Source organism: Homo sapiens, chromosome 15 (assembly GCF_000001405.40).
Source record: "Homo sapiens chromosome 15, GRCh38.p14 Primary Assembly".
NCBI classification, from domain to species: Eukaryota; Metazoa; Chordata; class Mammalia; order Primates; family Hominidae; genus Homo; species Homo sapiens.
Window position 1 is genome coordinate 81,640,252 of NC_000015.10, and position 25,716 is coordinate 81,665,967.

General features: G+C 38.2%; 1 long non-coding RNA gene across 6 annotated transcripts in view, besides 2 other annotated features; it reads right to left on the minus strand.

The window, feature by feature from the left end:
* LOC102723985 (uncharacterized) overlaps window positions 1–24,810 on the minus strand; it is a 50,131-nt gene extending 25,321 nt beyond the window's left edge. For 2 of the 6 annotated variants that reach the window (XR_007064737.1, XR_007064736.1), the window contains exons 1-2: window positions 4,797–24,798; window positions 1,758–2,184 (exon numbers count right to left, since the gene is read on the minus strand). This is a non-coding gene — a long non-coding RNA (uncharacterized LOC102723985). Of the gene's footprint in view, window positions 1–1,757 lie in introns of all 6 variants that reach the window. The other 4 variants (XR_007064735.1, XR_001751636.2, XR_007064738.1 and 1 more) reach the window with 4 other exon arrangements.
* Window positions 11,227–11,727: an enhancer, noted in NCBI's record as "H3K4me1 hESC enhancer chr15:81943819-81944319 (GRCh37/hg19 assembly coordinates)". NCBI's record gives its function as "activates a minimal SCP1, AML or CMV promoter by ChIP-STARR-seq in naive H9 embryonic stem cells {active_cell/tissue: H9 hESC(naive)}" and the evidence as "EXISTENCE:reporter gene assay evidence [ECO:0000049][PMID:30033119]".
* Window positions 11,788–12,288: an enhancer, noted in NCBI's record as "H3K4me1 hESC enhancer chr15:81944380-81944880 (GRCh37/hg19 assembly coordinates)". NCBI's record gives its function as "activates a minimal SCP1, AML or CMV promoter by ChIP-STARR-seq in primed H9 embryonic stem cells {active_cell/tissue: H9 hESC(primed)}" and the evidence as "EXISTENCE:reporter gene assay evidence [ECO:0000049][PMID:30033119]".
* Window positions 24,811–25,716: the final 906 nt, after the last annotated feature.

The window sequence follows — 25,716 nt, forward strand, 5'->3', positions numbered from 1 at the left end:
AAGCTACTCGAGAGGCTGAGGTGGGAGTATGGCTTGAGCCCAGGAGGTCGAGGCTGCAGTGAGCTGTGATCGTACTACTGCACCCCAGCCTGGGGGACAGAGTGAGACTGTGTCTCAAAAAAAAATCTGATAATTTCAACTTCTGGCTCACCTCAGATCAGTTCCTACTGACAACTTTGTCTCTGCAGTATGGGTCTCATGTTACTCTTTCTTTGTATGTCTAGTAATTTTGTATAGTATACTGAACATCATGAATGATACATTTTAGAGATGGTATATCCTGTTATATTCCTCTAAAGAGCTTTGACTTTTTGCTTTGTTTATTTTACCAGGCATTTAATTTGTCTGAACTCAATCTCCAAACTTATTCTCCCCTGGGTAGGAGGTAGTTAAAATCTCTGTTTTGTAATTTTATTCTCATTGGGGCTTATTGGAGTTATCCTGTATATATAGTTCAAGAGAATATACAAAAAAAAGGTGTCTCCTTTTCTCTGGCTCTCTCTATTTTAGAATATCTTTGATCTGCAGTGATCCTCTTCCTTCTGGTTCTTCCAGCCATTAGGATGGAGAGATTCTATTCTAGGATTGTGAGTTTCCATCTGAGTCTTAGCGGCTTCATGTGATACTGACTGGAGTCTGCTCACAGGCAAAGAGCAGTAAGAGCATCCACTCTCTAACAGTTTCTACCTGATTCAGCTATCTTTCCAGTATCCTCAAGAAGTTCTTCTTCAAGCCCTTCCAGAGGGTACAACTGTTCTCTTCAGAAGGCTTTGTCAAATAGAAGCCACTCTGCCACTACTGGAATTAAAATCTCTTTTCTTGAATCTAAAGATAATTCATGTAGAAAAAGAGCTAGTCTCAAAACTAGGTTGGGTTTGGGGTACTTGGGGAAGGAAAGAGAGATAGTGGAGAGAAGAATATATTTTTTAATAAATATCTCAGTTTCCTTCTCATTTGTGAATATAAGTTTTTTGTACTTCAATTTTTGATGAGTTACAGGTTTTCAATCACAGATTTTTATCTAGATTTTTCCACCTAGTACATGTTTCCTTGGGCAAGTAATTTAACGTCCCTGAGTTCCACTTTCTTTATCACTGTAACGTGGTTGATCATGCCCCTGTGACAAGGAGACTGAGATCATAGTTAATTGAGATTGAGTGACATCTGCATAATTTTAATAGTAAACTATTTGGAATCTGTACTTCTATTTTTATGGTCTTTGTATACCTTTGTTATGATATAAATGAATATAATTTTATGTAGCTATTGAAAAATAGTTACATTAAAATGTTCTGTAGAACTACCCTGGTCTAAAATCAGGTTTCTTTGCTAGGTAATAAAAATATTTCCCCCGAGGCAGTTCTGGGAAAGTATTATAATAGTCCAAAATTGTACCTTTGCAGAATATAAAATAACTAATAAAAAGATTTTGTAATTGTAGTTCCTTATGAATTATGTGAATTACATTAAATATTTTTAAGAACATTTTCCTTGCGTGAATAAAGCTTTTTATGAACTAACGTCTCAACTAGTGAGAAGGTTATGCTGATCTCAGCTTATACCAGCAGGTCACAGTAGCAACTACATTCTTAACTTTTAGAGGTATGAATTTGCTCTCAAGTTCAATTTTTTATCTAAATAATTTAAATATGATTCTGAGTCCCCACTAGCCTGAATGACAGAATGTTATTAGTCAGAACTGAGACTCCCTTCCTGATTTTATTTCGGAATGAAACAAGTCCAGGCTGGGGTCGTACCTGTCTTGGCAAGTCACGCTCCAATCCATCCATTTCTGCAGCCATCACCTTGGGCATCCTGTTCCAATGAGGCATACAGCAGTGCTGAGAATAAAGCGCTTATTATGTACGGTCGTCTGGGTTGGGCACTGTGGGAGACTGGGAAAAAATAGGGTATAACCCTTGCCCTCCGTGAAGTACAGGAAAAATCTCGGTGTCAAAAATGTAAAATTTCCAGCCATTTGGCCATAGATGTTACTTTTAGTGTAACCACAACCAGTATCAAATGGAAATCTGGCTGTAAAAAAAACAGAACTGTGAAACATTTAGAAAAGAGTAATGAAAACAGCAGAAAATTCAGTTCTCAGCAGAATTCTGTCAACAGAAGAAATTCTACTTCCACAAATTCCTTAGTTGAGAAAGGCGTGCAGAGGGCTTCCCAGGCCATCTATAAAACATGAAACCAAGAACAGAGCAGATGAAGAAAGGTTTCTATTTTCTTTCTGATTTAGCCTTAACTTGTGGTTTATGTTTTTTAAAAAAATGGTCTAAGCTCTTCTCGGGACCATTACAGGACTGTGCAGCTATGTGCTTGCACTAACATTGTTTATTTCAGAACATCTGTGCCATAATCTTCGGTCATGCCTGTGGAATATATGAGGTCATCTCTTTGGATGTTTATATAGCTGAGGAATAATCAAAACCAATGCACCAGGGATGGATACCCTTTCCCAGATTTTTAAGCACTTTTGCTCCTTTCATATCACCTCTTAAGTTTGCTCAACTCAGCACTGTGGGCACGGTATGCTCTCAGCAAAATGGGTGTTGAACTAATTAATCAGTATAATCTGGCTCAACTTTTGCCAATCTCACCCCTCCTCCCTACACACACGCACACACACACATACACACACACACTGCAAAGCACAAGAGAAAGATAAGCAATATGGAATTAAAATGAGCTGAGTTCTCTCTTAGCCCTGTCATTACCTACTTCTGTAAACTTAGGCAAGCCTAACCCTCCATCTGTTACCAGGATGAGCTCTCTTTGCTCCTCTTGTTTTAAAGATACTTCTTTGACTTCTTATCATATACAGACACAGTCCAAAGATCTTTCATGTTGTAGCTGCTGCCTGCCTTTCCAGAATCACCTTTCACAATCCCATAAAAATGGGCCCTGCTGGTAGCTGCCCTGCACTGCCTGCAGACCTTGCACTTGGACAAATTCTCTTTCTCTTGCCTCCATGTTTTGGGGGCACCTGGCTGAATGTTGTCACCTTCTCACTCCATCCTCCTCCTCCCTCAGCACCTCAAACACATCCTTATTGTCGCTCTAGAGTTGCAGCTGCAGTTGACCCAAAAAGAGCTCAGGGCCTAGAATAGAAGAAAATCATCAATACTGGAGTTAATGGATTGTGGTTTTGTTCAAACTGGGAAAGACAATGCCCTTGGTTGGCAGGGTCAGTGTATCCATTTCACATTAGGAATTGGTTTCTTCTTGGATTGGCATCATTTTGCCACCTTCAAGATCTTTACCTACTTTAAGGTTGTTTGTTTGTTTGTTTGTTCGTTTGTTTTGGTTCTGGTCATGTCACCAGGGATCAACACAAGCAGGACCTGTCTCCTGGTGGCAGTGTGGTGGCACATGGCTGGTGTCTTGCTTTATGTAGGTGCTGCTGACACCTTGAGTTCTCACCCTAGAGGCCACTGTACTTTTTCTCCCACAGAAGTAGTTTCTCCACCAGTGTCTTCTGGAAGCACACACCTAAAGGCGAATTATTCTTAAAATACCCCTTTGTGCAACTATTCCCCTTTATACGCTGCCCTTTTAGGAAAGATAATGACGGAAAGAATCAATAGAAACCCCAAATAGAGAAAAAGCCTGTAGCAGCGTTGAGAATCAGCTTTGAGGCATTGCTGTTTTCTAGAATGTAGGGGGATCACACTGAAGGCACAGTGTCAAGAGCTGACTCATCACTTTTCTTTCCTAGAAAGTGATGCAGAGTAAACGGAGCAGAGGAGTATTTCACCAACATCTCTGAATTAGAGAGAGGCAAGAGTTACCTGTCAGAGTGGTTCTGAGAAAAGATGCAGAGCTACCTCATTGCCAGTAGGGACCAACATTTGTCAGTGACTTCTGAAAGAACAAGTAATCCTCATGAAACATAAATTGTGAGCTGGCCTGGCTTCTCAGTGATGGAAGAACAGTTTCCTAAAGCAACTGGACATCCTTCCACTCACCTCCTAGAGTGGCAAGAATCTGGCCACAGCCATGCCATGTATTTGGAATAGAGAATGGGAAAATCAGATGAGGAAGGTGACCTCATGCCCTGCAAGTTCAACAAACTCAGGGGAGGAAACTTGAAGAGATGACACTTCCTAACTAGACTGCTCTTGATCTCAACCTCCTCACACCTTTAGTGACGCACGGCTGAACAGGTAATGCTGTTCATGCCACCAGGCTTTGACCTTGAGATCAAAAAGAAGAATTCTAGCAGCAACCAGGTAAACCCACACAGACTATTTTGAAGGACACAGCAGCTAGGACAGAATCATGTGTGAGTTAGGAAACAGTGGCCTTATGGGCAGATGCAACCGTGCACCAGTCGTCACAGTTTAACGCAAAGATCAGGGGTTAACTTTCAGCCTCACTCTGCAGCCTACTGGGTGCCTTTGTGCAGGGTGGCCCTGCTGGGAAGCACCTGTGCTGTCCTCTTTCTAAAATACGTAAATAGGAAAAAGAAATGCAAGATAGGGCCTATCAAAAATTCATTAGCATAAAAGTAGGAGACAAATGTCGCTCATGAGAGATACAATAAGAATATAACTTCACAGGCGATCTACTGCAGGTGACTTTTTGCATTTTTATTATACAAGCAATTATTCATTGCAAAAAAATAAAAATAATTAGAAAGGGTGATCAGAAAAAAGAAAAAAAATCCATGGTCTCATCTATGTGATAAACCACTTCAACATTTTCCCCATCATCTCTTGGATATTTATTAGTTGAAATTCTACTGTAAAAAGAAGCTTTCTATGTATTTCTCTTTATTTACTTACCTATGTCATCATGGACTGATTCTTTTATTCTCATGGGTTATAGAATCACTGTTGCTGTTTTTTTGGTGCTCAAACCTTGGCAGGTTTGGTTGCTGGGAGCCTCTTCCATCAGGCCCTGGCCTCATCACTTTTTGAGCACGTCCTGATGTTCCGGCACAGCAAGGTGCTTCAGCCTCATCTCATCCTTCCCAGGCCAGCCCCAGAATTAACCATCTCTCCAAGGAGCCCTCCTGTTAACTTCTCCATGTATTTCTTTCCAGTCGTGTTTGTTTGTTTGTTGGTTTTGTTTTGTTTTGTTTTGTTTTGTTTCGTTTTCCCTAGGACTACTTCTAGGCTCCTGGCTTGAATTTAAAGACGGTTCAGACATTTCTTAGCTTGTTAGGTGAGTGAGCCAGGCAGGTTCCCTGGAGAAACCTCTAGATGAAGAGGGCATCCTGAGGGGAGAAGCAGCACAGGGGATGCACCTGAGCCAATGAGAAGCCCTCTCAGCACAGGGGAGAGGCAACGAGGAGTGAACAGGGGTCTGTTACGAATCTGTCACTCTCTGGGCTCCGGAGAGCAAGAGATTACTAACAAAGCGTAAAGAGCCTTACACTGAAAACAGTTATAGAGCATAATGGTTTGAGCAGTGCACATGGAGAGCCCCTACTGGCAGGCCGTAATAGCCTCGGAGAAAGACTTAAACTTGAAGTCCCACTTCATTACAAACCTCAGTGGAGATTCGGGGCTGTGGGGCTTTGCTGATTTGTGGTTGCAGGTGACTGTGGCTGGTGGCTGCTGCATGTTGGAAAGAACCGCAGGGTTCCGTGAAAGTGCTCCAACTTCCATGGGAGTTGGGGATGAACCACAGAAGTGGAGGCAGGCGCAGCGGCAGAGTACCACAGAAGCCAACTGGCTGTGGTACACCCGTGACCACATCTTGGGCACTTCCCATAATCCTGGGAAGATGTTTTGCAGAGGGTGGAGGTCTTGTCTGAATGAGAGGGGGCAAGAACCAATTAAATATTAGTTATTACAATTAATGGAACTACATTAACACCCGCAGAATTGTAAGGCTTATATAAACTTAGAAGACAGACTGAGATATCCATTTTTTAAATCTACCTCCCCCAGGCCCCCATCCTGCCAGTCCCACCTTGCAGAGAAAAAATATGAATGTTTCTTTCTAGACCACTGGTTCTCAACTAGGAGTGATTTTGTCTTCTTGGGGGACATTTGGCAATGTCTGGAGATATTTTTGCTCGTCACGATGAAGGGATGCTCCTGGCAGCTAGCAGATAGAAGCCAAGGATGCTGCTAAAATGCACAGGATAGCCCCACAAACCAAAGAATTATCTGGCCCAAAGTGTCAATAGTGTCCAGGTTGAGAAACCAGGTTTGAGATGCGTGAATCTCTTTGGTTTGGAAAATATTTTTATATATTAAAGACATTAATGTATTTTGTCTAGTATAGATGTCGTGAATTGTTTCCAGTTTGTTTGTTTTTTGCACTTAATTGTATTTTTAAACCTATGGAAATATAATTTTTATATATTCAAATCTATCAATGTTCAGTTATGTCAGAAAACATTATTTCTGTTTTTGATATGGTTTTTGCTATAGTCTAAAATTGTATAAATATTCAACTATTCTTTTGATGCTTTTATAGCTTTACCTTTTACTTTCAGCCATTCTGGAATTTATTTTATGGCAGGGTAGACTGTAGGAATCTCAATTTATTATTTTCTTCTTAAATAGCCAGTTGTTCCAACAATATATACTGGAAAGCCCTATCCTTTATCCGCTTTGCACTTTTTGAAAGAGCAAAATTATATTCTGAATCCAAATATCTAGTTAGAACTGTTTCTGGAATTTCTATTTTGCTCTTGGTCTATAATAGTCTGGTAACAGGTTCATTGTACCTTTAGGGATACAGATAATAATCGTGTGAAGGTCAAAGAACAATCATATTGAGATCTTGATTAGGAAGGTACTTTCTATGTTAATTTAGGGAGAATTGGCATTTTTACCATAGTGATTCTTTTTATCTAGGAACATTGTCTGTTTCTCTATTCTTTTATGCCTGTTAGTAGAGTTCAATAGTTTTTTTCAAATACATTCTATATATTTCCTTTAAATTTATTGCTAAATATTTTATATTTTGGCATATGTATTTTTTTCCCTCATATCTTGATAGCTTCTATTTTATAGAAAAATCTATTACTTTCTTAAAATATCATTTTGTAACTGGCTTCCTTAATTGTCACTGTTGTTAACAAGTTTTCAATGGATTTTTTGTTTATTTTCCAGGAATAATGTCAAATTACTACAATTTTTCCTTTTTCTTTCCTATTAGTGCTCAGGGGATCATCTTCAATCTTGGGAATTAGAAACTCTTTGAAATCTCGATGTAAGTAAAAAATTCAGAGGCTAGACTTGTCTGGTAATATCTTAAGAATGTATAATGAATTTAGGATGCCTGTTGTCATTATCTGCAATATTTCCCAAATATGGAAAATGCTACACTTCCAGATTACTTTCTAAAACTGAGGTATCATTTACACCTATCAAAATGCACAGATATTAATTATATAATTCTATGAGTTACATATATTCATGTGACCACCACAATGAAAAAAAATAGAACATTTCCATCATGCCAGAAAGTTCTTCCACAAATAGGCAACCACTGTTCTAATGTCTACCACTACAGATTAATTTTGCCTGTTTTACTATTTCATATAAATGGAATCATATGGTATGTCGTTTTTGGTTTTGGCTTACTTTTTAAATATACTGTTTCTGAGATTCGACCAGATTGTCTCACATATTAGTTCATTCCTTTTTATTGCCAAGTAGTGTTCTATTGTATAACTATATCAAATTTTTTAATTCATTCTTCTGTTGGTGAACATTTGGGTTGTTTACAAATTTTTTATTATTATAAATATAGCTGCAGTAAATATTTCTGGATAACTCTTTAGGATGCCTGTTGTCATTATTTGAAAATACGTTCAAAACGATGAGCATGTTTTCATTTCTCTTAGGAAAATATCTAAGGGTGGAAACCCTGGGCCATAGAGGAGGTATATGTTTAAATGTATTTTAAAACTCCAGTTGCCCACAGTCTTTGTGCCAAATTTTATAACTTTTAAATTCGATAAATTTGAAAGTTACAGAAAAGTTGCAAAAAATAGTGCAAAACATTCATGTACACCCTTTACTCGGATTCATCAATAGTTTACATTTTACTCTATTGCTTTTTCATTATATCTAACTTCCTATCTATTATCTATCTATCTAATATATACCCATATCTATATCTACATACTATTCTTTGAAACCATTAGTAAATTGGTTAAATTTTGGTAACTCTGAAGAACAATACTTTGCTAGAGAACATTTATTAAAACCAAGAAATTTAATAATGATATAACGTCATTTTCTAATACAAAGTCCACAGGGCGGTTTTATCAATTGTTTCAATAATGTCCTTTATAACTTTTTTATTTTCCACATCCAGGATCTTATCCAAGGTCACAAATTGCATTTACTTGCATGCGTCTTCTCTCAGCTGGAACATTTCCTCAATCTTTGTCTTTCATGGGTGGCATTTTCTTTTCTTCTTTTAAATTTCAATAGTTTTAAGAAAACAGATGGTTTTTGGTTACACAGATCAATCGTGTAGTGGTGAAGTCTAGGATTTTAGTGCACCCATAACTCAAGTAATGTACATTGCACTCGATAGGTAGTTTTTCATCCCTCACCCCACTCCCACCCTTCCTTCTTCTGAGTCTCCAATGTCCATTATACCACTCTGTATGCCTTTGTGCACTTATAGCTTAGCTTCCACTTATAAGCAAGAACATGTGGTATTTGGTTTTCTATTCCTGAGTTGCTTCACTTAGTATAATGGCCTTCTGTTTCATTCAAGTTGCTGCAGAAGACATTATTTCATTCTTTTTTATAGCTGTGTGGTATTCCACAGTATACATATACCACATTTTTTTTATCCACTCATCAGTTGATGGACACTTGGGTTGATTCCATATCTTTGCATTTGTGAATTGTTCTGCAATAAACATATACATGCAGGCATCTTTTTATATAATGAATTCTTTTCCTTTGGGTAGATACCTAGAAGCAGGATTGCTGGATTGAATGGTAGATCTACTTTTAGTTATTTGAGAAATCTCCATATTGTTTTCTATAGAGGTTGTACTAATTTACATTCCCACCAGCAATGTATAAGCATTCCTTTTCCACCACATCCACACAAGCATCAACTGTTTTTTGACATTTTATTAATGACCATTTTGGCTGGGGTAAGGTGGTATTTCATTATGGCTTTAATGTGCATTTCCCTGATGATGAGTGATGTTGAACATTTTTTCATGTTTGTTGGCCATTTGAATATCTTCTTTTGAGAAATGTCTGTTCATATCCTTTGCCCACTTTTTAATGGGATTAGTTTTTTCTTGCTTACCTGTTTGAGTTCCTTGTCAATTCTAGATATTAGTCCTTTGTCAGATGCATAATTTGCAAATATTTTCTCTCATTCTGTAGTTGTCTTTACTCTAATGATTATTTCTTTTGTTGTGCAGAAGCTTTTTAGTTTAATTAGATCCCATTTATTTATTTTTATTTTTGTTCATTTGCTTTTGGGATCTTAGTCATAAATTCTTTGCCTAGGCCAATGTCTAGGACAGTTTTTCCTAGGTTTTCTTCTAGAATTTTTATGATTTCAGGTCTTAAAGTCTTTAATCCATCTTAGGTTAAATTTTGAATAGGGTAAGAGATAGGGATCCAGTTTCATTCTTCTGCATGTGACTAGCCAGTTTTCCCAGCATCATTTATTGAATAGGGTGTCCTTTCCCTAATTTATGTTTTTGAATGCTTTGATGAGTGACCTTTTTTTTTTAAGAGCACAGATCAGTTATTTTATAAATATCTCTCCGTTTGGGTTTGTGTGATGTTTTATCATGATTGGATTCACATTATTTATTTTTGACAGGAATATTATGGAAGTTATGTTGTGTCCTCACTGGTATATCATACCAGGAGATACACACTGTCACTTGTCCCAATATTGATGTTAACTGATATCTTCCAGATTTCTCCACTATAAAGTTACTAATTTTCCCTTTGTGATAAATAAGAAATGTCTTTGTAAATATTCTGTTCATTATCATGTTTTCATCTATAACATTTTGCATCATTGATGATTTTCTGACATCATTCCTTCTATATTTATTAGTTCTTATTCTATATTCAATATATAGACACTTCCATCAGCCCAGGAAGCTCCTCCGTGTCTCTTCCCAGCCTGTCTCCCCTGCAGAGACAACTCTTCCTTTCATTGTTTTCACTGTAGCAGGTTATTCTCCATTTTTCTCTTTCTCTCTCCCTCTCCCTCTCTGTCTGTGTGTGTGTGTGTGTGTGTGTGTGTGTGTGTGTGTGTGTGTGTATATCTATATCTATCTATATATGCATACATATCTATATCTATATATATATGCATACATATATATATAATCATGGATTCTTATTTAATTGAATGAGTTAAAATACATTATTTTCATTCTTTGTTTTGATTCTCAAATTGCCAGACTTGGGAAGTAGGGACTCCTTCAAGCTAGTTGCTATGTCCTTTTTAAATATCCTCATAATACTTTGAGTAGTTCTTTGCTTTTTGTCACAATACCATATTTTAGGCTCATTATGAAATTTTCTTGCCCAGATCTGGAATCAGCCTTTTCTCAAACTAGCCCCTTATCACAGAGAATAATATTTAGAAACCAAAGTTTAGTGCTAGCTTGCCCATTGCTTCTCATATGTCATTGCTTCTAAGCCTTTTCAATGGACAGAGCTTAAGAATGTATACATACATATGCGTGTATGTTGTTGGTATGTATATATAAATATATTTCTATGTGTCTCTATTGAAAGCCATGAGCTCATACGGAAATAAATTGAAAAATTTGCCATATTTATAGATGTGAAATGATGGCAGTGGTGGGCCATCTGGAGTGGCCACTGCCATCATGCTGACTGCAGCAGGGAGGTGCAGCCAGGACTACACACTCCGTGGAGCTGGCAGGAGCCAGGGACAAGCAGGAGCCAGGGACAAGCAGGAGCCAGGGACAAGCATGATCCCTGCCCTTTCTGACTTGGGGTGGAAGCTCTCAGGGTGCTGCTGCAGCTGCCCAAGCCATGGCTGTGGACCTGGGCATCCTTGTGCTCTTGGGGCCTGGGAGCAGGCAGGAGCCCTACCCTCCCAGTCACAGCTGCAGCCACCCAAACTGTGGCTGTGGACCCAGGCATTCCTGCACTTTGGAGGCCCATGAAGGCCTCCCCTATCCTCACAGGCTTGCAAGTGCCTGCTTCCACTGCCTGGCTTCTTCCTGCTGTCAGTGCTTGCTCTGATCTTAGAGCAAAGGCTGGGCTGAGCCTGGGGGCTGTCACAGCCTGACCAGGTGTGTGCACGCTCAAGGCAGTGCTGACACACCAGTCCCCTGCTGCCTCACCCCCTCTGGACTTTGGGCACTGATGAGCATGGAAGGGAAGCCAAGGGGGGACTGAGGGCAACTCAGCCCTGGCCTGCAGACACCTCTTGGCATGAACAGCCTGGGCACCATGAACATCAGTGAGAGGCAAACAGGCTCCTGGGCAGAAGGGGGCAAGTCCCCAGAGAAGCCCCACCTTCAGGCCAGGGAGGGCCTGAAGGCTGGGGGCCAGGCTGCCAGTCCCGTGGACTGGAGTGGGAACTTGTGGTACCTTTTCTGGGCCCACTCATGGCCACCCATGGACCAACTGGCATGCACTTCCTCCCCTCTTAGGCCCATAAAAGCCCCAGGCTCAGCCAGAGCTGGGCAATGTCAGGATGACCTGCTGCAGAAAGGAGCTACCCACCTCAGGGCCTCCTCTCTGCTGAGAGCTGCAGAGATTATGGAATGACCTGCCTGCAGAGAGGAGCAACCCACTCCAGGACCCCCCGTCTGCTGAGAGCTGCAGACATGATGGGATTACCTGCCTACAGAAAACAGCAAACCACTCATGGGTCTCCTAGGAGCTGAACACTCGTTAGGACACCCTGGCTGTGGAAAGGAGCTGCCCCCTGCAGGAGACTTACCTATTCTCTTGCTCAATAAAGCTCCTCTTCATCCTGCTCACCCCACCACTTGTCTGCATACCTCATTCTTCCTAGTTGCAGGACAAGAACTCAAGACCCATCAAGTGGCAGGGCCAAAAAAGCTGTAACACCAACAGGGCTGAAACATGCCCCCTGCTTGCCACGTTGAAGGTGAAGAGAAGGAGGTAAGAGCTGTGGCCCTTTGGGGAGCCCATACCTGGGAGTTCCCTGTGCCAAGACCATGACTCCCTCTTTGGGGCCTTGCAGTTCCTGGCATCTCCAAGCTTCTGGATGCCACTGTGTTCCCCAGTGCCAGCTGTGGAAGCCGCTTGTGGTGCACCTGGTCTGGCCACAGCCTTGCAGAGAGCTGGTGCCTGTGCTGGCACCTGGAGCTGCCTGCCCTGGCACCTGGAGCTGCCTGCCCCACTGCAGCAGCCAGTATATCTGACTGTGGGCAGTGGCCGGACCCCATGCTCACTTGCACACCTCTCACCATTTCGTGCCTGACTTGCCCATGGCAGGCTCAGGACCCAGGTCGGTAGCATGAGCCAAGCACAGCCTGCGAGGCTGTGGGCAAAATGAACCCAGGGGGCCTGAGCAAAACTCAGGCAGAGGCACCACTGGCTGCAAAGTTTTTCAGCCAGAAAAATGACAACCAAAGATCCTGTAACACTAATATTGATATATATGTTCAATTTACTCCCAATCAAAATTCCTTAATACATTTAAAACAGCTGCTTCAAAATATTTTGTGAGCTGATTCCAACATCTGAATGATCTCAAGTCAACTTATGGTGACTGCTTTATTTTTTGATTATGAGTCTACGCTTCATTTTTTCTTTCCATATTTATATTAATACTGGACATTGTGGATGATACAGAGATTTTGATTTCTATATCTTCCTCCATAAAGTGTTGGTTATTTTTCTGGCAGGTAAACTACTGTCAAATCACTGTAACTTGAGGAGTTTTGGTGTTTCACCTTGCTGAACAGGTGTATGGAAAGCCCAAGTCGTTTGGTAAACCTCTCAACTTTTGACAGGCCACAAACTCCAAACTGGATCTCCTGTGGTAGGCAGTAGGTAAAGTTCCTGCACAGTTCTTTCAGCCCCCAGCTGTTGTTGGTGAGCCCCCTGAAGTCTCCCCTGTGCTTGTGCAATTTGGGATTGGCCAAGGATTAAAGGGTGTCTATAAGCTAATCTGGGGACTTCCTCTGAGGCTGTCTTCATTCTAGGATTCCCCTCTTTATATTTCAGCCACTCTGGCAGCACCAACTTCATCTCTTGACACCACATGCTAATAATACTGTTTGAGATGTCACATGAACTGGAAAGTACCTCAGGGGAAAAGTAATCTAAAAATGGTCTCATCGAGGGAGTGTGGTTCACTTATTTCAAGAGTTCAATCTTCTTGTTTCTTTCCACATTTTGTCACGCTCCAATATCTTCAAATAATTGGTTTTTAAGAAATATTATGTCCAGAGCTTGTAATTGTTATCTGTGGCAGTGTGTCCAGAGTCGGTTCCTTCCGGTGGGTTCTTGGTCTTGCTGACTTCGAGAATGAAGCTGCGGACCTTCGCAGTGAAATGTTACAGCTCTTAAAGGTGGCATGGACCCAGAGTGAGGAGCAGCAAGATTTATTGTCAAGAGTGAAAGAACAAAGCTTCCACAGCGTGGAAGGAGACCCAAGGGGGTTGTTGCTGCTCGCTGGGATGCCAGCTTTTATTCTCTTATTTGTCTCCACCATGTCCTGCTGATTGGTCCATTTTACAGAGCACTGATTGGTCCATTTTACAGAGCGCTGATTGGTCCATTTTACAGAGTGCTGATTGGTCCATTTTACAAACCTCTAGCTAGCCATAGAGCACTGATTGGTGCGTTTTTACAGAGCACTGACTGGCGTACTTTACAAACCTCTAGTTAGCCACAGAGCACTGATTGATGCATTTTACAATCCTAGCTACAGAGTGCTGATTGGTGCATTTTACAATCCTCTTGTAAGACAGAAAAGTTCTCTAAGTCCCCACCCGGCCCAGAAGTCTGGCTTCACCTCTCAGTGAGGAGGGGTATAGTTAGTCTAAAAAAGTTTTCTCACCATTATAAGAAGCAAAACTTGCCTCAAATTTTTTTGAACAATTATTGAAGAGAAACAAAAATATTCTCTCTTAATGAAGTGCAATGAATATTCTTCATCACTATCAAAACACAGATTACATGATAAACAACGTAAGAATTATCAAGTTAGCTTATAATACATGTGCTACTGATAACTTTACCCCTAGTTGAGACATTTTTGAACCCAGAGAACTCATTCAAATAATCTTGACTTCTCCATGTGAGATCTCAAGATTCTGTGACAAGAGAATTAAGAAAAAGTTTCCAGTTAAATCTAGGATCTCTCAGTATCATAGCACTATTGTTATTTCCAGACTATTGCAAAATAATAATGACGATAATGCATAGCCAGTGTTTAATATATTTCACAATGTAGAATCCTCTTTAAAATCATGTAATAAAATATAATTGGTTATCATGTATTATTCTAATTTAGTGTTTCAATGCAAGTAATTTTATCTATAGTTTGTGTATTTACTTTCATAAATTAAACGGGTCTGTGGTTCTTACCTTTGGGTTATCTTTGTCAGATTTCTCTATGACACTAGTGCTAGCTGCACAAAATGATGACGCTTACTTTCCTATTCTCTGCAAGAGTTTAGATATTAGAAAAATCATTCATTCTTTGAAGAGTTGAAACATTGCACCTATGAGACTGTCTGGCTGTTTTTTTTCCTAAGAGTTAGTTATATGATGGGTTTTTATTTTTATTTTTTTTGTGTGCTAAACACCTTATATGCTTTATTTCACCTAATTTTGTCAGTCTTTTTTTTTTTTATATACTTTAAGTTTTAGGGTACATGTGCACATTGTGCGGGTTAGTTACATATGTATACATGTGCCATGCTGGTGCGCTGCACCCACTAACTCGTCATCTAGCATTAGGTATATCTCCCAATGCTATCCCTCCCCCCTCCCCCCACCCCACCACAGTCCCCAGAGTGTGATATTCCCCTTCCTGTGTCCATGTGATCTCATTGTTCAATTCCCACCTATGAGTGAGAATATGCGGTGTTTGGTTTTTTGTTCTTGCGATAGTTTACTGAGAATGATGATTTCCAATTTCATTCATGTCCCTACAGAGGACATGAACGCATCATTTTTTATGGCTGCATAGTATTCCATGGTGTATATGTGCCACATTTTCTTAATCCAGTCTGTCATTGTTGGACATTTGGGTTGGTTCCAAGTCTTTGCTATTGTGAATAATGCCTCAATAAACATACGTGTGCATGTGTCTTTATAGCAGCATGATTTATAGTCCTTTGGGTATATACCCAGTAATGGGATGGCTGGGTCAAATGGTATTTCTAGTTCTAGATCCCTGAGGAATCGCCACACTGACTTCCACAATGGTTGAACTAGTTTACAGTCCCACCAACAGTGTAAAAGTGTTCCTATTTCTCCACTTCCTCTCCAGCACCTGTTGTTTCCTGACTTTTTAATGATTGCCATTCTAACTGGTGTGAGATGGTATCTCATTGTGGTTTTGATTTGCATTTCTCTGATGGCCAGTGATGATGAGCATTTTTTCATGTGTTTTTTGGCTGCATAAATGTCTTCTTTTGAGAAGTGTCTGTTCATGTCCTTCGCCCACTTTTTGATGGGGTTGTTTGTTTTTTTCTTGTAAATTTGTTTGAGTTCATTGTAGATTCTGGATATTAGCCCTTTGTCAGATGAGTAGGTTGCGAAAATTTTCTCCCATTCTGTAGGTTGCCTGTTCACTCTGATGGTAGTTTCTTTTGCTGTGCAGAAGCTCTTTAGTTTAATTAGATCCCATTTGTCAATTTTGTCTTTTGTTGCCATTGCTTTTGGTGTTTTGGACATGAAGTCCTTGCCCATGCCTATGTCCTGAATGGTAATGCCTAGGTTTTCTTCTAGGGTTTTTATGGATGGGTTTTTAAAATTTTCAAAGTCATTGGTCTATTCAGTTTTTTTTCTTGCTCATAAATAAATTTTAACTCATAACTCCCTTGAAAGTCATATGCTTCACCAAAATCATCAAGTCTATTAGCATAGATTTCCATATGGTAGTCTCTTATGATTTTGTAATCCCATTTGCATCTTGGGTTATAGCCACCTTCTTAAGGTGTATTTGTATTTAATTAAGGTTTTTATGTTAGAACTCAGAACTCAGAATGGTCGTGTTCTTCTGATTATTCTATTTTTTGGGGGGAGTTGATTCTTTTGTTTTGTTTTTCAAAGATCTAGCTCTTGTGTGTGTACACTCTAAATTAGTTGGTTTTCCAGTTTATTAAAGTCTATGTTGCTATTAATTCCTTGCTCCTTTCTTCAAGTATTGATTTAATTATGCATTCTCTGACTTCTTGTGTGGAGTACTGATTTCAATTATTTTAATTCCTTTTTATTTTACAATAAATACAGTTAGTGCTCTAAATTTTCCAATAAATTTGGCGTTGGTATGCTTTGTCTTAATTGTTCTGTTATTTCCGAGATGGCTTATTTGTACATTATAAATTCCATTAAATCATTATTGAAATGTTGTGGGTGACAACTATTAACATGAATAGATGCCAAAGATATTTTAAGTAAAAATATTAGGTTATAATCTAGCATCTACAAAATTATCCTATTTTTATTCATTTATTCATTAATTCAATAAGTATTTACAATTATCCAGTATGTGGTAAGCCTGTTAAAAATGCCTTTTTTGTGGGTAGATATACATACATATATATATATATGAAATGTATAGAGAGATTAATATATAAGAAAAATTATATTAAACATATTTACGTAAAGCTAAATAGAAAAGATACAGGGAAAAAAGCACTAACCCAGACATGGTTATGTGCACGTGGTAGAATTATTATTATTGTTTTCAATATTTTTTCATTTGGTTATTTCTATTTGCTAATTTTCTACAGTTAAAAGATATTGGATATTTAAATATTATTGTTGATTTTTTTAAATATGGTTCCTCTTTGACACAGTATTTATATTTCAAGGAATTTTGTCTGAGAAAATAATTCAGCATGTAGCAAAAATTTAGGAATAAAGCCACTTAATGCAAAGTTACAAGTAAATAAAAAATGCATAATTTCTGTCCAACAATAGACAATGGATAAAATGAATAGTGGGATGTCTATATATTGTATTATGTACTCATTATATTACAAAACATACTTATGTGCATTGATATATTTTCCTGACTACATACTCTTAAGTGAAGAAAGCTGTCAAAAAATATATAGAGAATGGTTATACTTAAAAATCAAACATATAATTAGGTACTCATAAAAATACCTGGAATTTATACAGTACAATTTTAGCTATTTATTTCTGAATTATAATATCATGGATTGCTTCTACTCATTTATTAATATTTTTGTTATTTTACAATAAACTTGCATTCCTTGTATTTTTTTAAAGAGTTGCAAAGGCTAAAGAAGTAGTGGCAAAAATTAGGGGGCTGCCAGTAACTGGCTTTTGAAAGAATGTTTCTCATTTAACCTCTATTTTATGAAATTAAATTTTTTTTTCTGGAAACTATAATAAAATTAAGATAAAATAGCAATAAATGAAATGGAGGGACTCCTTGGGATTTTTATTGCAAATTTCTATAATGAAGAGTGTGTGTATGTGTGAAATCTTTCTTACTAATGAATTAGGAAAATCTTAACATACAAGGCAAGCTAAACAAATATCAGCAAATGCAAACGAAACGCATCCTTATTTTATTCAGGACCAAATATCTAGAGTCTTGCTGCTATCTAATCCACAGATACAAACTTAATCAGTTTCTCATTAACCGTCACATCTTCATAAAGAGCTGAACTGTAGAACCACTGATAAGGAAACAACAGTAATTAGTCAATCTACATGCAGAGCTATCTTGATGAAAATTGTGGCTTTGATAAATTTATTATAGAATTATTGGGAGAGCATAGTGCTCTGAGCTTCCAAATTATTATTTTAGAAAGATATTTGGCAAATGCATCAAATAATTGTATCATTTGAAATAACATCTATCCAAACAAGCTGATATATAATCAAAAATATTTGAGCCAAAAAGTTCACTGAACTCTTTACAAAGGGGAAAAATTAGAAACAACCTACAAATCTCATCAATGGGATAAAAATTGCTTAAGTTGCCATATGTCTGCTCAAGCGATTACTAACTCACTTTTAAATGAGCTGTCATGCAGGGTTTATAATAAGAGGTAAATGCCAAACACATAAAGTTAATGGGAAAAATTGGGTACAAAATTTTATGTGTAATATGACTACAAACCAAAATATGCAAAAATAAAACTCTATAGAAATAAATTTGAAAGGCAGTATAACAACATACTAATTGGTTTCTGTCGGTTGCATGAATATAAAGGATTTCTCATTTTTTTTGGCATAATTTTGTCTTTTTTAAAAATTTCCATAATGAACATGTACCATTTTATAAAAGGAAAGATAAACAGTAAAATTTATGTTTTTAAAGATATTTCTGGGATGTTTAAAAGTTTTATTATGAGTTTCACAGAGCCACTGTCTTTGCATGAAACTGAGGTATTGCAGGAAACTGAATCTACCATTTTAATTTTATTTTCTGTTTTCTTATTGGCCAAAAGTGTTCTCCTGCTAACTTTCAGTTTTGGGGGTTGAGGTGAGATTTAAAGAAATAAGTAGTATCTTATATAATGATAAAAGTTAATGAATCTCTTCCACTTTGAACAGTGTGAGGGTGTGACCAAGGCCTTCAGAAGCAAGGCTCTCCATCCTCTGCTCTTCACACTCCCAGGCTCATTTCAGTGAAGGAGTTGCTTACAGGTCCCTTGTGTTCTATCTTACTTTTGGGTGGCTGCTTTCCCTAAATATGTCTCCTATGTTATGAGACAGAATAACACTATGGGGATGAGCTCAGCCCTGGGATAGGAAGCCTGGGATTCCAGCCCCAATTCGGTAACTTCCCAGCTCTGTGATTTTGATAGTTCTTTGATAATCCTTTCATAGGATAGTTGATATCCTAACTGCTAAAACAGATAATAATAACAATACCAGTACTCATTCACAGGGTCATTGTGGGGATTAAATGAGGTAATACATATCATATTAAATGTTCAATCAGTGTTAACTATTAATGTATCTCATTTGGGTAAGTCAGTAAGAGCCCTTTTAACTCCCAATTTTAGTTTGCATTTAAAAGCCACTGATACCTCTGAATAAAGGCTCCTTCTTTGGCCTCATGACCTTTATATTTTCATCTTGTTACTTGCTAGTTCTTATTGGCTCTGCTTATTTTGGAAACTCTACCAAATTTTGAAAAAAAAAAAACTGGCTTGCGGCCTTGAAATGATGAGTTTTGATATTTTATACTTGAAAAAGTTAACATTTATTTGCTCATAAAGTGATTATGCTTTTTAATGTATTTCCTCACTGGTAAAATGACAGAGGTAGTGGATATGGGTGCTTGGGTCTCTTCTATAACAGCAGTAAATGTTCGCAGAAATCGCCAGGAGATCCACGTGAAAAATGCAGCTTCTGCTTCCGTAGGGACAGGGTGACGCCTGAGGCGCTGCATTTCTAACAAGCTCCCAGGTAATGCCAGCGATGCTGGTCAGTGGACCACATTTTGAGTAGCAGGGATCTGTGATATTACCTTCAATTCACGTATTTAACTGGTCAACTATAATGATCCTCCCCATGGTATGAATATTACCTTAAGCAAGATACTTAACCACTCTCAGCTTCATTTTCCTAAAATGAAAAGTTAAGATAACACTCACCTTCTAAGAATGTTGAAAGGATTCCATGCATCAATAGATGGTGCATTTGAAATTTCTGGCAACAATATGAAGCATACTGTGGGTGTTAGTAAATGCTACTTGTCTTTCCTTCTCTATTAGAGACTGAGGTAGAGCCTGTCTTAGCCAATGACCTGCTAAACATCACCTTCATAATATTTGATGGTGTAGATCATTAGATATTTGAAATTAATGGAAGATCTATACAGGACATATTTGAATGATGGAGGACAAGATGATAACAGCTTACATTTGTTGAATAATCACTTTGAACCAGGTTTGTCTGATTCAAGTTCCCTTGGCTCGCTCTCTCTTTTTTTCTTTCTTTTTTCTTTTTCTTCTTCTTTTTTTTTTTTTTTTTTTTTGTCTTTTTCAAGTTTTTAAGATAACATCATTTGGAGAAGAAGCCATCTTCATGATCTTCATGTTTGGGCTCTACTTCAAAGTTATATCTCAGCCCTCAGAAGACATGATAATGACTCATAAGATTTCATCTTGAAACGGCTTTTTAAATCCATCCACAGTAAGAAAAAAATGTAGATGCAGGTGGTTTATAAATGCCCTTTTAGGCTTGATCAATTGTTTGTAGCTATGACCTTAACAGTCAAAAACAAAATCTGGAGGAAAAGAAAATGCCTCCAATAAAAAACGCTAATGCAGCCTCTTGAGCTTGTGGTGTCTGTGGAAAATAAGAAATGATTAACTTCCTTTTGTAAGTATAACATTACCCACTTCATAATGATGGTATAAGGATTAAATGAGATAATCCTAGCTTTTTTTGTTACTATAAAAATAAAGATAGTCTTTTTATGTAAATTAGCTAGGGTAGGACTTGTTTCTCTGTTAGGGTATGTTTGTTATAGTCTGTTTTAAAAGCACTGTGCATGAGCAGTGATACGATGGAATTAAAGAGAGATTTGCCTATGGGCTTTTCCCTTTATGTTACATAAGGAAAACTTGAATTTCACATTTCTAGCCACGTAGTGATGACTTTGGCATAAAGAGTTCACCAGGTAGAAGGTGGCCCCTTGTGCTAAGAGCCAGCATTCTCATGGAAAATTAAAAACAACTGTTTATTTTTAGCCATGAAAATGCAATCATTCTTGTGCTCAAATATGCTTTACATTACCTAAAAAAAAGTTTATTGGCACTGAGTCTGTTGTGTAACTGAGGAAACCATTGTGTGCTGTCAAAACACACTAATGTAAAAACCAATCCAGTGAGCAACAGAATGATGGACGAAACAGGTAACAGGGCTGAGGAAAACTCTTCCGGAGGTTGTAGAGGAAACTAAAGCAGGAGAAAAACTGCCTAGTGCCGAAAGGTTAGAATAAAGACGTTGTTTAGTCACTTGGGAAAAGGAATTCAAAGTCAGAAAAATGATTACATTAACAGTGAGTGCAATATTTGGCCTGTTTGGATGCAAATTTTTCTTTCCTATTTGAAATGGCGAAGTGTCTTTGAGATGTCATATGTTTGTTCTCTACAGTGCCTTTCTTGGGGGAAAGTCCTAAATTCCTAAACTTAGAGAGTGGAGGAAATGCTCAGGGTGATTCTTGGAGGGAGGGTGGAAGTAAGCATTTTGAAAGTAGGTTAACTATAACTAAACCTTGATTAAGGCATCAAAGGAAAACAGGTTGGAATTGACTAATCGTGGATCTCTTGATATCCAGAATTATTAACTTGATCTCCTGGATCGCTGGGCTCATGTTTGCAGCTCTCAAGGTTATCTTTTACTCTTAATACAAAAGCATTACCAGCAAACTTTATAATAATTAAGTTAAGATAATCAATACTAAGGCAACTCTGGACAGCTTAGGGGCAGGAAAGCCTTGGTATATAAGCCTGAAATGTTTTCCTCTTCCTGGTGTAAGGGTAGACGGTAATGACCTAGCTTATTTCCCTTGTGAACACCACTCTGCGAAACTAGCATCTCAGGACAAGCACTGCCCTCATGCAAACAGCTACCTCCAAGATGAGATGCTCCCGGAGGTCTCTCTGACCTTCTCCTTGTTTCTGTGAGAAGACTCCACCTTGTTTCTCTCCTTCCAGGAACCAGGTTGTTTTCTCATTCATCCTCAATATGTTTTATTAGCCATATGCGTTGCTGCCTCCAGGCAATGTACAGGCAATGCAGAGAAGAGGAAATCCAAAATCCCATTAGTGGACAGGGAAATGGAAGAAAATAAACCCAACGAAATTCGAAAGAACAAAATATAAGCTAGAAACTGTAATTAATGAAAAACATTTTCCCTCCCCAGAAATGAGTTAATCAGCAAAACCAAAACTTGTTCTTTGAAATGACTCATAAAACAGATAAACCCTAGGCAAATAGGATCAAGAAGGATAAGAAACAAATAACATTAAAAACCAAAAAATCCTGACACGTGGATAAGTATGATGTTTGAAAATTTCAAGAAGATATTAACACTATGAAAAACTTTATAATAATAAATTTGAAAATATAGTTGAAACAGACATTTTTCCCCTGGGAAATATAAAAGCAAAATTGGCCCAAATTCCCACACATGTAGAGCCTAGAATTAACCACTGTATTTATAATTCCAATTCTTCTCCTCTAGATCTTATCCTATCTTCTGCAAAACTCTACCAAACACTTTTCCTGGGTGGGTTCCTCCAGTTGTATCTACATTTTTCTCATTGTGCTATTGTTTGTATAAACAGGGCATGATTAAGGTGACTGGGGGAGGAGGGTGCCTGAGTGATTCAGTGGCATTTGGCCCCTCCATACCATTCCATCAAACTCCTCATCCACTCTTCAAGTTCCAGCAATGGGCACATTTCACAGTTTATCTCCCCATTGTCTGTTTCTCCCCAAGGTGTCAGTGATCGGTACATCGTCCCCTGAATTCTCAGAGTTCACAGATTTCAATTTCTTCTACATCTATTCACTAACACTAATATATTTTTTGCCTCTAAAATAAGGTCCTTTGCTGCAGATCAAGACTTCCAACTTGCCCTATACCTATATAGAAAAATGGCTGGAAGGATATAGAGAAAAATGCTAAAAGAAGGTACCATAGGAATATAGTTGTTTATTTTTACCTTTGTAGTTTTCTGTGCTTTTCAGATTTCTATCTTGAGTCCCTTTTGTAGAGGAGGCCACTCTTATGTTTGCTCTGCATCCAAATATACTGTTACTTTACTTTGAATTGAAATCAATCTCTTGATAGATAGATAGATAGATAGATGATAGAGAGATAGATAGATAGAGAGAGAGAGAGATAGATGATAGATAGAGATAGATACGTATGTAAAACATATACAAACATGTAGAGAGGTATGCAACTATACAAAGATCTATATTTTGTATGTGGGTTGATTTTATACCCAAATTTTTTTATCTATACTTCTTTTTTTGGAATTGTTATTTTTTGCAGTGAACAATATGTTTCACAGACCTTTCCACATTGGTACACGTAGGCTTATCTGCATCTTTTGCAAGTACTACATAGTCCAGATTTACCATGGTGCTCTTATCCCAGTTTTGATGTTCATTTCCAATTTTGCCTGTAACTAACACTGCTGCAGTTAACATGCTTGTACTTTCATACAGGGCACATGCAAGTGCATCCTTAAGGTAGAAACAGAAATGAATTGCTGAGTCAGAGGAGACATTATTTTTCACTCTAATAGACACTGCCAAAATTGTACTGTAAATAGCTGCAAAAATTTATACTTACAAAAACAGTGTATATTTATCACAGCACAATTCACAATTGCAAAGATATGGAATCAACCTAAGTGCCCATCAACCAATGAGTGGATAAAGAAAATACAGAATATACGTATACCATGGAATACTACTAAGCTGTAAAAAAGAGTATTCATTTCTTTACAACATCATCAATATTTGATATGATAAAAGTTTGTTACTCTGATGAGTGAAAATTACATTTCTTTTTTTCTAACTTACATTCCTTTGTTATTGGTGAAGTTGAATATCTTTTTACCTATTTATTAGTCATTTGTATTTCATTTTGTACAAATAGGACTACTTGTTCATGACTGTCATGACTGTTTTCATGAGAATAATGTCTTTTTTTTTGTGAGATGGAGTCTCACTCTGTCGCACAGGCTGGAGTGCAGTGGGTGATCTCGGCTCTCTGCAGCCTCCATCTCCCGGGTTCAAGAGGTTCTCCTGCTTCAGCCTCCCGAGTGGCTGGGATTACAGGCACATGCCACCAAGCCTGGCTAATTTTTGTATTTTTAGTAGAGATGAGGTTTCACCATGTTGGCCAGGCTGGTCTGGAACTCCTGACCTCAGGTGTTCCTGAGGCCCGCCTCTGCCTCCCAAAGTGCTGGGGTTACAGGCGTGAGCCACCCCGCCCAGCCAATATGTTTCATTTTGAAACAAGTATCATAATATGTTCCAAATATTATTTTTGCTTTACTGAAGTTCACCCTTTCATAATCCATTCAGGGAGGACTTGTAGATGGTTAACTTTCTAAATCTGTGCATGTCTGAAGTGTTATTTGGACCCTATACATGTGGGATGTACTTCCAGTACAACTTTTTTGGGTACAGGGTCTTCTCATTTCTCCTAGAGTTACCAACTGGGTGGTGAATATGGTGAAACACAGGAGACAGACAACGTATCCTGCTCTTCTGTGGTGCGGGCTCCCTGATGATTGCCCTGGACTAGTCCCCTCACTGCTCCTCTGATATCTGCACCCAGGCTTGCAGCATCTCTAGAGCCATTCCCAGCTTTCTCAACAGCTGCTCCCTGCTAAGCCTAAGTTTCCTTCTCCAATCCGATCCCATGTGCCTTCCCCCTTTCAGGAATCCTTACATTTTCTTAACCACTAAGGAAGCCTTGTCTTATTTTCCAGCATAGGGATGGATGGTTTATTTTGTTTGTATCTACTTGTGCTGTTATTATGGGGAATACTGAATGTTCAGCATGCGTTTATTCTGACAGCCATTTTGAATTGCAAGTCCTTTGTGATTTCAAAATGTCAGTAAAGGAAAGCACAAGCAAACACATAAATCATAAATATTTTATCCCTTAAAAACAAAGTGATTTTATCATATATATATATATATATATATATATATATATATATATATATATATGTGTGTGTGTGTGTGTGTGTGTATATTTATCCAGCCACAGCGTTGTGCTCAGTGCTGAGACTGAGGAGTAAATCTGACCTTCTCATTCTATGGAAGTGCACAGCCTAAGTAAGGACAGAAAGAAACATGAACCAATTAAACATACTTAAAATATATTACATCATGACTATCACCCAGAAAAACATTCTGCCAAAAACTCTTGTCTAATTGGTAATTATAATCATCGGGTATCTTCCATAATAATAACCGAAGTTATACATTATAATGAGCAAATTCATATTCATCATTCCATTTTTTCTGCAAAACAACCCTGTAAGGTGAGAGCTATTTTTATCCCACTTTGCATATGGGAACTATTTTAAAACTCTAAGCACACAGTATTTATCCCTCCCTGTGTACAATAAGTCACAAGAAAAGCAAAATCGGTTGACCTTTTGCAGTGGCCATTCTCCCCAGGGGAGTTTGAGGTCCTGAGTAACCCTGGGGAAACCAACCAGGCTTGGACCCTCTTCCCAAATCTACTGATAAAAGTTAAGGCCTGCATTTTGCTAATTATATCATTGCTGTCTTAAATATTTAATATGCATTCATCATTGAATCCTCACAAGACTAATGAAGGAGGCACTAATATGACCCCCGCCACACACAGCATTTTCCCGAGGCTCAAAATAGTAAGCATCTAACCAAAGGTAACAAAGCTAGAAGTGGAGGGATTTGAACCTAAGTAGTCAGGGTTTATAGTTCACACTCAAAACCATGGGTAGGCAAACTATGGTTGTTTTTGTACAGCCACAAGCTAAGAGTGGCTTTTACATTTTTACAGACTTGTAAAAACAAA